The 14,485-nt window shown below is 37.4% G+C and overlaps 1 protein-coding gene across 9 annotated transcripts in view; it reads left to right on the forward strand.

Annotated features, from left to right (window-relative positions):
• Positions 1 to 14,485, forward strand: part of QSER1 (glutamine and serine rich 1) — an 87,460-nt gene that overhangs the window by 23,659 nt on the left and 49,316 nt on the right. For 6 of the 9 annotated variants that reach the window (XM_047427611.1, NM_001076786.3, NM_001416037.1 and 3 more), the window contains exons 2-3: positions 10,688 to 10,800; positions 11,493 to 11,654. In XM_047427611.1, the coding sequence (XP_047283567.1) occupies positions 10,688 to 10,800; positions 11,493 to 11,654 (275 nt within the window). The remainder of the gene's footprint in view (positions 1 to 10,687; positions 10,801 to 11,492; positions 11,655 to 14,485) is intronic. The other 3 variants (NM_001416038.1, XM_017018330.2, XM_047427614.1) reach the window with 1 other exon arrangement.

Below are 14,485 nucleotides of genomic sequence, written 5' to 3' on the forward strand. Positions count from 1 at the left end.
CAAAAGGGGTATGTTCAGAGAAATGTGTCGTTAGGTAATTATATCACTGTGCAAACATCTTAGGGTATACTTACACAAACCTAGATGGTGTAGACTGTACACACCTAGGCTATATGGTATGATCTGTCAATCCTAGGCTACAAACCTGTACAGGATCTTACTGCCCTGAATACTCTAGGCAGTTGTAACACAATGGTAAGTATTGGTGTATCTAAACACCCCTAAACATGGAAAAGGTACAGTAAAAATAAGGTATTGTAAGTTGTACATGTGGTCTGTTGATTGAAACATTGTTATGTTGGGCATGACTCTATTTTTTTTTTTTTTGAGATGGAGTCTCAGAGTCTCGCTCTGTTGCCCAGGCTGGAGTGCAGTGGCGTGATCTCAGCTCACTGCAACCTCCACCTCCCGGGTTCAAGCGATTCTCCTGCCTCAGCCTCCTGAGTAGCTGGGACTACAGATGCATGCCACCACACCCAGCTAATTTTTGTATTTTTAGTAGAGACGGGGTTTTGCCATGCTGGCCAGGCTGGTCTCGAACTCCTGACCTCAGGTGATCCACCCACCTCGGCCTCCCGCAGTGCTGGGATTACAGGTGTGAGCCACCACGCCCGGCCGGGCATGACTCTAAATGGAATTATATGTGGTCTTTTGTGTTTGGCTTCTTTCATTTAGCATAGTACTTCCAGATTCCTCCAGGTTGTAGCATGTATCAGTATTTTGTGCCTCTTCGTGGGTGAATAGTATTCCTTTGTTTGACTACATCACGTTTTGTTTATTCATTTATTAGTTTTTGCACATTTGGATTGTTTCCACCTTTTGACTATTATGAATAATGTTGCTATGAACATTTATGTACAAGTTTTTGTGTGAACATGTTTCCATTCTCATGGGTATATGGGAGTAGAGTTGCTGGGCCATGTGGTAATGATGTTTAACTTTTTGAGGGAGGCATGAGATTTTATTAATATTTTCTTAATTCAGTTAACTACTGTTGCTTTATTCACAGCTAACTTAATGTCAAATGTAATCTTTATCCCATTGAACACAAGATACTAAAAAACCCTATTTTATGGCCAGGTGTGGTGGCTCATGTCTGTAATCCCAGCACTTTGGGAGGCCGAGGTGGGCGGATCACTTGAGATCAGGAGTTCAAGACCAGCCTAGCCAACATGGTGAAACCCCATCTCCACTAAAAATACAAAAACTAACTGGGCGTGGTGGCACCGGCCTATAGTCCCAGCTACTTGGGAGAGGCAGGAGAATCGCTTGAACCTCAGAGGCAGAGGTTGCAGTGAGCTGAGATCGTGCCATTGCACTCCAGCCTGGGTGACAATGTGAGACTCTGTCTCAAAAAAAAAAAAAAAAAAAAAAACCAGCATTTCTCTGTATTGCTTTCTGTGACTTATGATGTGGAGCTCTCTTGTTTTGTGCTTCAGTAATTAATATCATTAGATGGTAGCTCAAGTAGGTTTTGGCCTTATATGAAATCCTGATATAATGCCTAAAATTAATAATATTAAGTCTCAGATAATTCAGTTTTTAATTAGCATGGAGTGACCTACTGGCTTAATCTTTCATTTTTGAATCCCTAGTCCTTAACAGGATGCCTGCCCAGTCAAGTAGGCACTCAGTAGAAGTTTGAGAGATTATTGAGCTCTAACTTGAAGCTGATTTCTCTTCCGAAACTGTACATGGGTTGTAATTATTTATGACTACCTGCTGTGTACCACATACTATTCTGGGTGCTTGGGATGTACCAGTGAATAAAGCAAAGGCCCTGTCCTTAAGGAGTTTACCTTTCAGTGCATACTGGGCAAACTAGCATACTATATATAGTAAATACATATAGTATGTTGAGTGTTTATTAATGCATGGAGAAAAATAAAGAGGGTTAGGGCATGTGGAGAGAGAGGACAGAGTAAGGATGTTGTTTTTTATGGGGTGGTCAGGGAAATCTTGAGAGGTGAAATTTAAGCAGAGACCTAAGGGGAAATGAGGAGTGAGTTTGAGGGATGAGGCAAGAGACCTGTCTGGCTGGGAGTAAAAAATAGGAGCTAAAATCAGAGGTGTAAGGGAGCAGCAACTAGATCATGTAGTGCCTTGAGAACTTTGTAAGAAGTTGTGGCTCTTGTGAGGTGGGAAGCCGTTGGAAAGTTTTTCATGATTTGATTTTACCTTTTTAAGAGAATGACTCAGGCTGAGGATGAGGGGAAGGAGGGGCAAGAGCAGAGGCAAGGAAACCAGTTAGGTATAATAATTCCTTGTCTGTTCAAGAAGTGATTGGAGTTAGCAAAGATTTATAAGGAACACCCTCTTCCCCCCAAAAACCCCTGATATTTATAAATTAGATCAATAATTATTCTAACGCTTAGGAAGTTGTGTTTAGATTTAGCATGGCTTACATTTTTTTAAATGTAGACTTCATTTTTGGGAACTGTTTTAGATTTACAGAAAAATCAGGAACATAGTATAGAGTTCCCATACACCCCCCACCTAGTTTTCCCTATTATTACCATCTTGCATTGGTATGGGACATTTGTTACAGTTAATGAACCAATATTAATACAGTATTATTAACTAAAGCCTATAGTTTATGCAGATTTCCATAGATTTACTTAATGTCTTTTTCTGTCTCCTCTTATCTGTGACAGTTTTTCCAGCTTAGTTTGTTGTTTTTGTTGTTGCGGTTTTGTTTTTTAGAGACAGAGTCTTGCTCTGTCATCCAGGCTAGAGTTCAGTGGCATGATCACCTACGAACTCCTGGGCCGAAATGTGTAGCTGGAAACTACAGGCAAGCACCACTAGGCCTGGCAAATTTTTAAAAGTTTTTTAGAGACTGAGTATTGCTATGTTGCTCAGTCTGGTATCAAGCACTTCTCTGGCCTCAACCTCTTATTACTTTGCTTTTGATAACCTTCACAGTTTTCAGAAGTACTGGGCAAGTATTTTGTAGGATACCCCTCTTTTGGAATTTGCCTAATGTTTTTTCTTTTCATGTTTAGACCGGTGTTACTGGTTTTGAGGAGGGAGACCACAGGGGCAAAGTGTCACTTTCATCACATCCTGTCAGTGGTACATACTATCAACGTGATTTATCACTACTGATAAAGCCTTTATCACCTGGTCGATTCTTGTCAGGTTTCTACACTGTAAAGTTACTCTTTTTTTCCTCCTTTCAATACTATACTCTTTGGAAAGGCGTCACTGTGTGCAGTCCACACCTGAGTGGGGAGTTATGGTCTCCCTCCTTCAGGGTAGAGAATCTACATAAATTAATTGGGAATTCTTCAAGGGGAATTTGTCTCTTCCTCTCTATTTATTCAATCGTTTATCAGTATGGACCCATGGATATATATTTTATACTTCGGGTTACAAGCCAGTACTATTTTGTTGCTCAAAATGTTCCTGCTTTGGTCATTGGGAACTCTTTTCAAATAGCTTGTGTGTTCCTTTGACATAAATGTCTTTTCTTTTTTTCTCCCTCCCTTTCTGCCCCCTTTCTTTTTAGCACTTTCTTACTTTCTGGCACTACAAGATACTCTAGACTCATCTTGTATATTTCCTGCCCCAGTACTAGAATCAGCCATTTCTCCAAGGAGCCTTGGTTCCTTTTTCTTGGAGAATGGTACGAGAAACCAATCTGGGCACTAGGTATGTTCTTTGCTGCTGGAGTGTCATTGCTTCTGGGCTCTGTCCGCCAGAGTAAGGAAATACACATGTAGCTTGTTTTAATATAGAGAATGATTGCTATGATCATTTTAAAAGCATATAAAATCGTAAGAGTATTTTGAAAATAGCAGTTGGGCATTTGGGTTTTTGTATTAAGGGATTTCTACATTATACTTTGAGTAGCAAAAGAATGAAACTGGACTCCTACCTCACACCATATAAAATAATTAATTTGAAATGGATCTGTCATCCTAAATGTAAAAGCTAAAACTAAAAAACTCTTAGAGAAAACATGGGCATAAATCTTCATGACCTTGGATTACAAGTTATTTCTTAGATATGCTATCAAAAGCATGAGTGTGACAAAGGAAAAAATAAATTGGACTTCAAAATAAAAAATTTTTGTGCTGTACATGATACCATCAGAAAGTGAAAAGATAACCACTGAATGGAAAACAATGTTAAAAATCAGATTTATCGGGGATTTGTATCCAGCATATTTAAAGAACTCTTATACTTTAATAATAAAAAGATAACCCAGTTAAAATATGAGCAAAGCATGTGAGTAGACACTTGTCCAAAGAAGATGCAAGTGGTCAGTAAGCACATGCAGAGATGCTGTACATTATTAGTCATAATGAGGTAAATGCAAATCAGAACCACTCCACACCTGTTAGGATGTCTACTATAGATGAGAAATACAGATAATAAATATTAGTGAGAATGTTGAGAAATTATAACTTATACTTTGCTGGTGGGAATGTAAAATGGTACAGCCACTTTGGAAAACAGTTTGGCCATTTCTCAAAATGTTAAACATGGAGTTTTCATTTGACCCAGCAATTTCACTCCTGGATATATATACCCAAGAGAAATTAAAACATACATCTATACAAAAACTTGTACATGAATGTTCATAGCATCGTTATGATAGCCCAAAAGTAGAAACAACCCAAATGTCCATCAGCTGATGAATGGATAAACAAAATGTGGTATATCCATACAATGGAATATTCAGCCCTAAAAAGGAATGAGGTACTGATATATCCATGTTGTAATAAGGTGAACCTTGAAAACATATTTAGTGAAAGAAGCCAGTCATAAAAGGCCACAGGTAGTATGATTCAGTTTTTATGAGTTATTTTGAATAGGCAAATCCATAGAGACAGAAGGTAGATCAGTGATTGCCAGGGGCAGAAGAGAGGAGGGAAATAGGACCAGTTGCTCATGGATACACGTTTATTTGGGGGGGATGATCAAAATATTCTAAAATTAGATTGTGGTGACAGTTGGACAAGTCTGAATATTCTAAAAACCACTGATTAGCATACTTTAAAAGGGTGACCTTTATGGTATGAAAGTTGTATTCCAAATTTGTTTTTTTACAAAATCATTTAGAACAGAATAGCAAAAGACACTTAGGGATAAATTTAACAAAATACATGTAAGAATTATACACTAAACACTACAAAAGATTGTTGAGAGAAATTAAAGACCAGAAACAGCTGTACCATATTCATGGCTTAAAAGATTCAGTACTTTTAAGATGGTATAGTTTTTCCCAAATTGATGTTTAGATTCAATACAGTTTTTTTGTTGTCATAGAAATTGACAAGCTAACTCAAATGTATGTGGAACTACCTAGCACAGCAAAACAATTTTGGAAAAAGAACAAATTTGGAAGATTTGTGTTATTGAATTGAAGACACTATAAACACAGTTGTATAAAAATATAGTTATTTGTGGATTGATTTATATGAACAGACATTGGTCAGTGTAACACTATAGTCAAGAAATAGAAACCCATATATATGGTTTATTGGTTTTTGACAGAGGTGCCAAGACAATTCAATAGGTAAAGAATAATCTTTTCAATATATAGTGCTGGAACCATCGCACATTGAAATTTTAAAAATGAGTATCAACCTTTTACACCACGTATAAAAAATTAACTCCAAATGGATTATAGCCCTAAATGGAAAAGTTAATACTATAAAACTTCCAGAAGAAAACAGAAAATCTTTGAGATCTTAAATTAGGCAAAGATTTCTTAGGTACACCACCAAAAGTACAATAGATAAATTAAAAACTGATCAAAATTAAGAGCTTTTGCCCTTCTAAAGATACTGTTGCAAGAATGAAAGCCACCGGGTGGGAGAAAATATTTGCAAAACATAACTGGCCAAGAACTTGCTCCAGAATATATAAGCAACTCTCTAAACTCAGTAATAGAAAACAACCCAATAAAAATGGGCAGAATATTTCAGTAGTACTTTTACTAAAGATTTCTACATGGCAGATGGTGAGATACTTATTGTACATCAATTAGAATGGCTAATTTTTTTTTTTTTTTTTTTTTTTGAGCCAGAGTCTCACTCTGTCACCCAGGCTGGAGTGCAGTGGTGTGATCTCGGCTCATTGCAACCTCCGCCTCCCAGGTTCAATTGGTTTTCATGCCTCAGCCTCCCGAGTAGCTAGAATTACAGACCTGTGCCACCATGCCTGGCTAATTTTTGTATTTTTAGTAGAGATGGGGTTTTGCCATGTTGGCCAGGCTGGTCTTGAACTCCTGACTTCAAGCGATCCACCCACCTCAGCCTCACAAAGTGCTGGGATTATAGGCGTGAGCCACCATGCCCGGCCTATTTTTTTTTTTAAGTAACAACTTACAAACTAACAATACCTAGGGCCCATATGGATGCAGAGTTACTAGACATACATTATTGGTGGGAATGTAAAATGTTATAGCCACTCTGGAAAACATGCAGTTTATCTGAGTTAAAGATACATTACTGTATAACTCAGCCATCTCTCTACTCAAGTGAAATTAAAACTTATGTTCACACAAAAACTTATGCACATGTGTATAGCAGCTATATTCATGATTGCCCCAGATGTCTCTCAACTGGTGAGAAGGTTTTAAAAAACAAACCAACCTGTGGTACAACCATGCAATGGAATACTGCTCAGCAATAAAAAGGAATGAATCACTGATAGAAATAACAACATAGATGAATCTCAGAGGTGTTACACTAAGTGAAAAGCCAGACACAAAGACTACATATTAAATGATTCCATCTATATGACATTTTGGAAAAGGCAAAATCACAGAAGCAGAAAACAGATCTGGGGACTTGGTGGTAGGATGGGTTCACTGCAGAGAGGCAGGGGGAATCTTTGTGGTGATGGAAGTGTTCTCTCCCTTGGTTTCTGTGGTTTGTTTATGCAGGTATGAAAACACACACTAGAGGGCTGGGCACAGTGGCTCACGCCTGTAATCCCAGCACTTTGGGAGGCCGAAGTGGGCAGATCACCTGAGGTCAGGAGTTTAAGACCAGCCTGACCAACATGGCAAAACCCCGTCTCTACTAAAAATACAAAAAAAAATTAGCCTGGCGCAGTGGTGCACGCCTGTAATCCCAGCTACTCAGGAGGCTGAGGCAGGAGAATTGCTTGAACCTAGGAGGTGGAGGTTGTGGTGAGCCGAGATCACACCACTACACTCCAGCCTGGGCAACAGAGTGAGACTCTTGTCTCAAAAAAAAAGGCCGGGCACGGTGGCTCACACCTGTAATCCCAGCACTTTGGGAGGCCAAGGCGGGTGGATCACGAGATCAGAAGATCAAGACCATCCCGGCCAACATGGTGAAACCCCATCTCTACTAAAATATAAAAAATTAGCCGGGTGTGATGGCGGGTGCCTGTAGTCCCAGCTACTCAGGAGGCTGAGGCAGGGGAATCGCTTGAACCCGGAAAGTGGAGGTTGCAGTGAACTGAGATCGCACCACTGCACTCCAGCCTGGCGACAGAGCAAGACTCCATCTCATTTAAAAAAGCCCTAGAAAAGGTGAATTCTACCTATGCAAATTATACCTAATTTTTAAAAAGCGAAAATGTGAAAAATTTGAACCTTGAACTTTACCTCATACCATACACACAAAAAGATCTCAAAATGAGTCACAGACCTAAACATATAAGCAAAAACATTAAAACTTACAAAATAAAACAATAGGAGAATGTATTAGTGACTTTGGGTTGGTGAAGATTTCTTAGGACACCAAAAGCACAAACTATAAAACAAAAAATCTTGATAATTCACACTGAGCAAAAATTAAAACCTCATTATTTAAAGACAGTGGAGGCCAGGTGTGGTGGCTCACACCTGTAATCCTAGCACTTTGGGAGTCCAAAGTGGGTAGATTGCTTGTTTGAGTCCAGGAGTTCCAGACCAGCCTGGGCAACATGGACAAGCTTTGTCTCTACAAAAAGTTAGCTGGTGGTGGTGGTGCACGCCTATGGTCCCAGCTACTCGAGAGACTGAGGTGAGAGAATCACCTGAGCCCGGGAAGTGGAGGCTGTAGTGAGCCGTGATCATGCCACTGCAATTGAGGTTGGGTGACCGGAGTGAGACCCTGTCTCAAAAAAAAAAAAAAAAAAAGGAATAAATAAAGACACTGGAAAATGAAAGAGAATGAAAAGGCAAGCCAATAGACTGGGAGAAAATACTCCCAATACATATATTTGAGAATGAATTTTGATCCAGGGTATGTAAAGAATTCTTAAAACCCAATAAGAAGGGAAACAACCCAGGTTTGGTTTTATTTTCAGCTTTTATTTTAGATTCAGGGGGTACATGTGCAGGTTTGTTACAGCATGATGCTGAAGTTTGGAATACAAATGATCCTGTCACCTGGGTACTGAGCATAGTAGCTGACAGTTTGTTTTCCAGTCCTTACCCCCTTCTTCCCTCCTCTAGTAGCCCCCAGTTTCTATTATTGCCATCTTTATTTCCAAGTACGCAATGTTTAGCTCCCACTTATTAATGAGAACATGTGGTATTTGGTTTTCTGTGCCTGCATTAATTTGATTAGGATTATAGCCTCCAGCAGCATCCATATTGCTGCAAAGGACATGATTTTGTTCTTTTTAATGGTTGTGTGGTATTCTAAGATGTTTGTGTACCACATTTTCTTTATCCAGTCAACCGTTGATGGGCACGTGTGGGTTGACTCCATGTCTTTGCTATTGTGAATAATGTTGCAATGAACATGCAAGTCAATGTCTTTTTGGTAGAATGACTTGTTTCCTTTTGGATGTATACCCAGTAATGAAATTGATGACAACCTAGATCTTTTAAAAGGGCTAAAGATTTGAATAAACTTCACTAGAGAAGCTAAAAGAATAGCCTTACAAACATACAGAAAAATGCACCTCCTCGTATGTTATCAGAGAAATGCAAATTAAGCCCAGTGATACTCCACTGAACCCACCTAGAATGGCTAAAATTAAGAAGACTGAAAAGATCAAGTATTGACAAAGATGCAAAACTACTGGAATGTTGATACATCGCTTTTTTATTTATTTATTTATTTATTTATTTATTTATTTATTTATTTATTTTTTGCAGACAGAGTCTTGTTCTGTCACCCAGGCTGGAGTGCAATGGTGCAATCTCAGCTCACTGCAACGTCTGCCTCCTGGGTTCAAGTGATTCTCGTGCCTCAACCTCCAGAGTAGCTGAAATTCGAGACCTATGCCACCACGCCCAGCTAATTTTTGTATTTTTAGTAGAGATGGGGTTTTGCCATGTTGGCCAGGCTGATCTCAAACTCCTGACCTCAAGTGATCCGCCTGCCTCATCCTCCCAAAGTACTGGGATTACAGGCATGAGCCACCACAACAGGCTGTGTTGCAGACATTAATAAGGATACATTACCTTAACGACTTCAAGCTCAGAATCGTCAGTAATGAGACAAACTGACACTGTGTGCCTCCTCATGTGATGCAATAAGAAGTACACAACAGGTCAGGTGTGGTGGCTCATGTCTGTAGTCCCAGCTACTTGGGAGGCTGAGGCAGGAGGATTGCTTGAGCCCAGGAGTTGGAGGCTACAATAAGCTATGATCCAGCTGCTGCACTCTAGCTTGGGTGACAGAGACCCTGTCTTCTTAAGACAAATCCAGAATTTGGGACATCTTATAATTTAGTTGCCCTGGATTCTTCAAAAGGTCAAGGGATTTGGGATTAGGGGTTGGGTGAAGGCACTGATACTAAGTTAGAGAAATAACCAAATGAAATTACTGAATTTTGATTGGATCCTAGTTAAAAAGAGCTTAAAACTTTTAGATGTTTGGCAATAATTGGGGAAACTGGAATATGACCTATATATTACATGATTATTGAATTAATGCTAAATGTGTTTAAGTCTGATAATGATATCTGGTTATATAAGAATGTCCTTATTCCTATGAGATGCAACTGATGATATCTCCAAGTTATTTTCAAGTTGTTTAGCAAAAAAAAGAAAAGTGGGTATGTGTGTATAGAGGAAAATAAATGTTACAAAATCTTAATAGTTGTTGAATCTTAAGGGACAGGTATATGGTGTTCATTGTATTTTTGATTTCTTTCTATGGGTTTAAAATATTCAAAATAAAAACATAACCTTTCCTTTCCAAGAAGAGGGGGAAAAATCTTGTTTTGGGCTACTCTGAAAATGTTTGAGCTTGAAGTTTTCTCAGTGAGTTATTGGGAAATAGTATTAATTATTTATTTGAATTATCTGTTATTCCATAGAATACTATAATTAGAGAGGTTATGGAGGTTATTTCATCTGGTCCTTTTTTTATACAGATGAAATTAGTCCAACAATAATTGAGTCCCTTATTTAAATTACACTGTAAGCCAGAAGTAGAGCCTGTACAATGAATTCACCTCTCTGTTGTCCAGGATATTACTTTTTCTTCTGTACCACATTACCTCTCCCAGTAAAAAGACTCTTGTTTGAGGTAGAATTGAATTAAAGAAAATACTGTGTATTATTTTTCTTACTAATGCATCTTAAATATATTTCCTCCATTGTGATAGTATTGTCAGACTGTGTTTGATCCACGAATCTATAGGTCAGGAAATTGGTCAAAGGTTTCTACTACTTTTATAGTTGTTCTTCTAGAAGTTTTTTTTATCAGATGGTTTGGACTGTGTATTTTGGTCACTGATTTTTAATGTCCTCTAGTTTAAGCTATGAAGAAGGACATCCCTCACACTCTGAAACAGATCTCCTTCAGAGACAGAGTTTTGCAGCCTCTCATCAGCTTCCTGGATATGCTCCCACACCTCAGCCTACTGGTAACAATTCTCTTGTGAATTATACTACGAGTCTGGGTACATTTAGTGAATAAGAAGAAAAACCAATTTTCATGTGTTGAGTTCTGAATGTATAGGACATACTCATGCCATGGGAAATGAAATGAGAGTAAAAGCTTGTTTTTTGTTTTTATTTTTGACATGGAGTCTCGCTCTGTCGGCCAGGCTGGAGTGCAGTGGCGTGATCTTGGCTGACTGCAACCTCCACCTCCCGGGTTCAAGTGATTCTCCTGCTTCAGCCTCCCGAGTAGCTGGGACTACAGGCACCTGCCACCATGCCCGGTTAATTTTTGTATTTTTTAGTAGAGGCGGGGTTTCACCATATTGGCCAGGCTGGTCTCAAACTCCTGACCTTGTGATCCTTCCACCTCGGCCTCCAGAAGTGCTGGGATTACAGGCATGAGCCGCCACGCCCGACCAAAGCTTTGGTTTTTACCAACGGAATATTTATATAATTAATAAATTAAAAGATCTTCTTTCATGCATCTTTGGAGATTTTAAATTATAAATATGCTTGGTCAAATTAATATGTTTACTATCAAAATAAAACCATCTGGGGTTGTAGAATGTTTTGGCCTTAATTTTCAGAAATTTTAAAATAGAGTCAGGAATATAATTTATACAAGTAAATTTTTTTTTTTTTACTTTGGGATATATTTTATCTTCAAATTTAGGTCTTTCTGGAATATTTGATACTAGTGTGAACAGTGCCAGCAGTAACACTAAAGAGTCTTCAGTGATGAATTTTCTGTCTACTGCTGAATCCCGAACTGCTCAGGCTGCTGCTTCAGGAACTACTCTCTTACCACAATTCAGGGCTCCATCCTGGCAGACAGGTGATTTTCTGTTTCTAGAATTTTTAAGTCCTATAAAAATGCTGATGAAACATATACATTTGATGGCCTTGTCATTGTGGCTGGGAGTTTTGTTACAATATTGATTTTCCACTGAACTTTAAGACCTGGAATTTTTCAAAATTTTCAGGTGGATAAAATTCAAGAATTTATTACTGGCAGAAATTTAGTTTTAGCATTCTGACAAAAACTAGTAAGTTGACATTGAGGGGTAGATAATGATTAAAGAAGGTCTCATATAAGGTTTATATCTAGCAATTACTTGTCTACTTGAAAGAAGCAAAGATTAAAATTTATTTTAGTGACTTCAGAATGGGTAGGTGTTATAGTAAAAAAAATCTTGGGACTCATTTCATTGTTAGTTTTATATAAAGTTATCCTTAATTGGATAGATTAAATCACTAATAAGAGACATTACAAGTTGATATTATGATGTGCCCATTTTCCAGCAATAATTACAAGGTCTATAATGTGCTTTTCTATTTCATTTTTCTTATTTTACTTTTCAACCGTTTCTCATCAGAAATTATATCTATATATTTCTGTTTTTTGTAGTATGACAGGAATTTTTTTTGGAGTTTTGTCTTAAGAAATGTCATAGTTTATTTGAGAATATGTTTTTAAAGGATAGGTATAGGAAATAGTATTTTAACATTCTGATGTAAATTCCACTAATAGAAGTTTCTCAGTTTGCCTTAGCAACATTTTTTTTCCTGCTTCTAAGGGGATAATCAATGATTTGGTGAAATAAAATAATATTTTAAAACATAGCTTTATTTTTTACTTCCTGAAATAATTATATATTTCATGTATTTAGTTAGATTTTCCTATCAGTATATTCATGCTGAAACTTGAGAGTTGAAGAAGTTTTAAAATAAAACAAAAGAAAATCTGTTAATATTTCTGTGAAGTGTTTTTACTCTTGTATAGTTTGTTTTTAAAGTTTTTGTGGTTTTTTAGGTTTCAATTTTGTTTTGTTTTGTTTTTTGAGACAGAGTGTCACTCTGTCGCCCAGGCTGGAGTGCAATGGCACAATCTTGGCTCACTGCAACCTCTGCGTCCCAGGTTCAAGTGATTCTTGTGCCTCAGCCTCCTGAGTAGCTGGGATTACAGGCATGCACCACCACGCCCAGCTAATTTTTACATTTTTAGTAGAGACGGGGTTTCACCACATTGGCCAGGCTGGTCTCAAACTCCTGACCTCATTCGATCTGCCTGCCTCAGCCTCCCAAAAGCGACCGGCCTAGGATTCAATTTTTAACAATTCATTTTTGCAATTTGTATCTGATCCCATAAGTGAATTGCATTCAGAAGGGCTTGGACTCCCAGGTTAGTAGGTAGAAGTTTTTTTATTTTTATTTTTTCTTAGAGCACGACTGATTTTACTATCATACGGCCATTTAAAAGGAATTTAATGGATTTTTGAGCACATTAAACTGGACCTAAACTAATGTACTCTAAATGGGAAATAAAAATGAAATTGAGACAAAAACATACACAACATATAAATACACCATTAGTTGGAAGAAGGTATTAGTGTTAGTGTGTTAGGATAAGGAACATCATCTTTTGGCATGTTTGAGATTACAATATGATCATTAGATGCATTTCAAAATATCGTCTGTGGGCATACTGTGGGGAATTTGCTAGCCTCTGTGACTCCCTTCTACATTAATCTAATAAATCATGCAGAAGTAAGTGAAGTGAGAAAGATCTTTTATCACTCTACTGGATAGAAGGATTTCAAGAAATAGAAGCTCCTTACTACCACTTTAAGCCCCAGATATTCTCTGTCCTTTCTAACTAGCCTCTTCCTCATTCTAGGCATAACTGTGATAATGTCAGTCACTATGTAATTACAATTGGTTCTTTAAACATGATTTGACATATGTGACATAAAACACCTCATAATAACGACTAAAACTGAATCAATCCATTATTTGTAACTTTACATTTAGTTAAATGTCGGTTCTTTATTACTGTTTACTTATTATGTTTTAAACCCCCCACCGCAACACACACAAAAGAACAATAGGAGATCTCTGGTAAAGAGCAGTAGAGTCAATTGATTAGAGTTTCATGAATATCACTTGACCCTCAGCAAGTCACATCACCTGTCAACCCCAGTTTCCTAATTGCTAGAACAAAGGAGTTGAACTATGTTATCTCAAAAGTCTATTCTAGTTCAGTGTATTATTTTAAACATTTCTAAGTGTTATTTATTCTTTCAAGTGCCACTAGATATTTTCTATCTTTGTAGTAATAATTCTTTTTGGATATTTAATGGAAAGTAGGAAAATATTTTTCAAAGAGCCAGAGAATTGTTTTCCCCATTTTTCCAAAAATGAAAAAAAAATTTAATGGAGGTTCACATAAAACATTTAAATAGTAAAAAGGTATATAAAGTGGAAAGTGATAGTTCCTAACTTTTCAAAGAGGAATTAACAGTTTGTTATTTTTATTGGATATCCTTCTATGTCAAAACATATGTATCCACCTTAATGTTTATGGCAATAGTATTATTATGGTATGCCATAATTATTTGATTGATCCCTTGTTTATGGACTTTTTGTTGTTTCTACTTACTGTAAACAATAACTATAATGAATATCTGGTACAAATATTTTTGTATGCACTCATTTCTTTAGAATAAATTTCTATAGAACTTTCAGATCACAAGGGTAAACCCATTTTTACTTTTGCTATATGTGGCTAAAATGCTGTCCTGAAATGTTAACAGTCTCTTTCTGACAGTACTTTGTTAATTTCTGATCAACTTTTCATGATAAACATGCATCTATTATGATTGGGAA

Source organism: Homo sapiens, chromosome 11 (assembly GCF_000001405.40).
Source record: "Homo sapiens chromosome 11, GRCh38.p14 Primary Assembly".
NCBI lineage: Eukaryota > Metazoa > Chordata > Mammalia > Primates > Hominidae > Homo > Homo sapiens.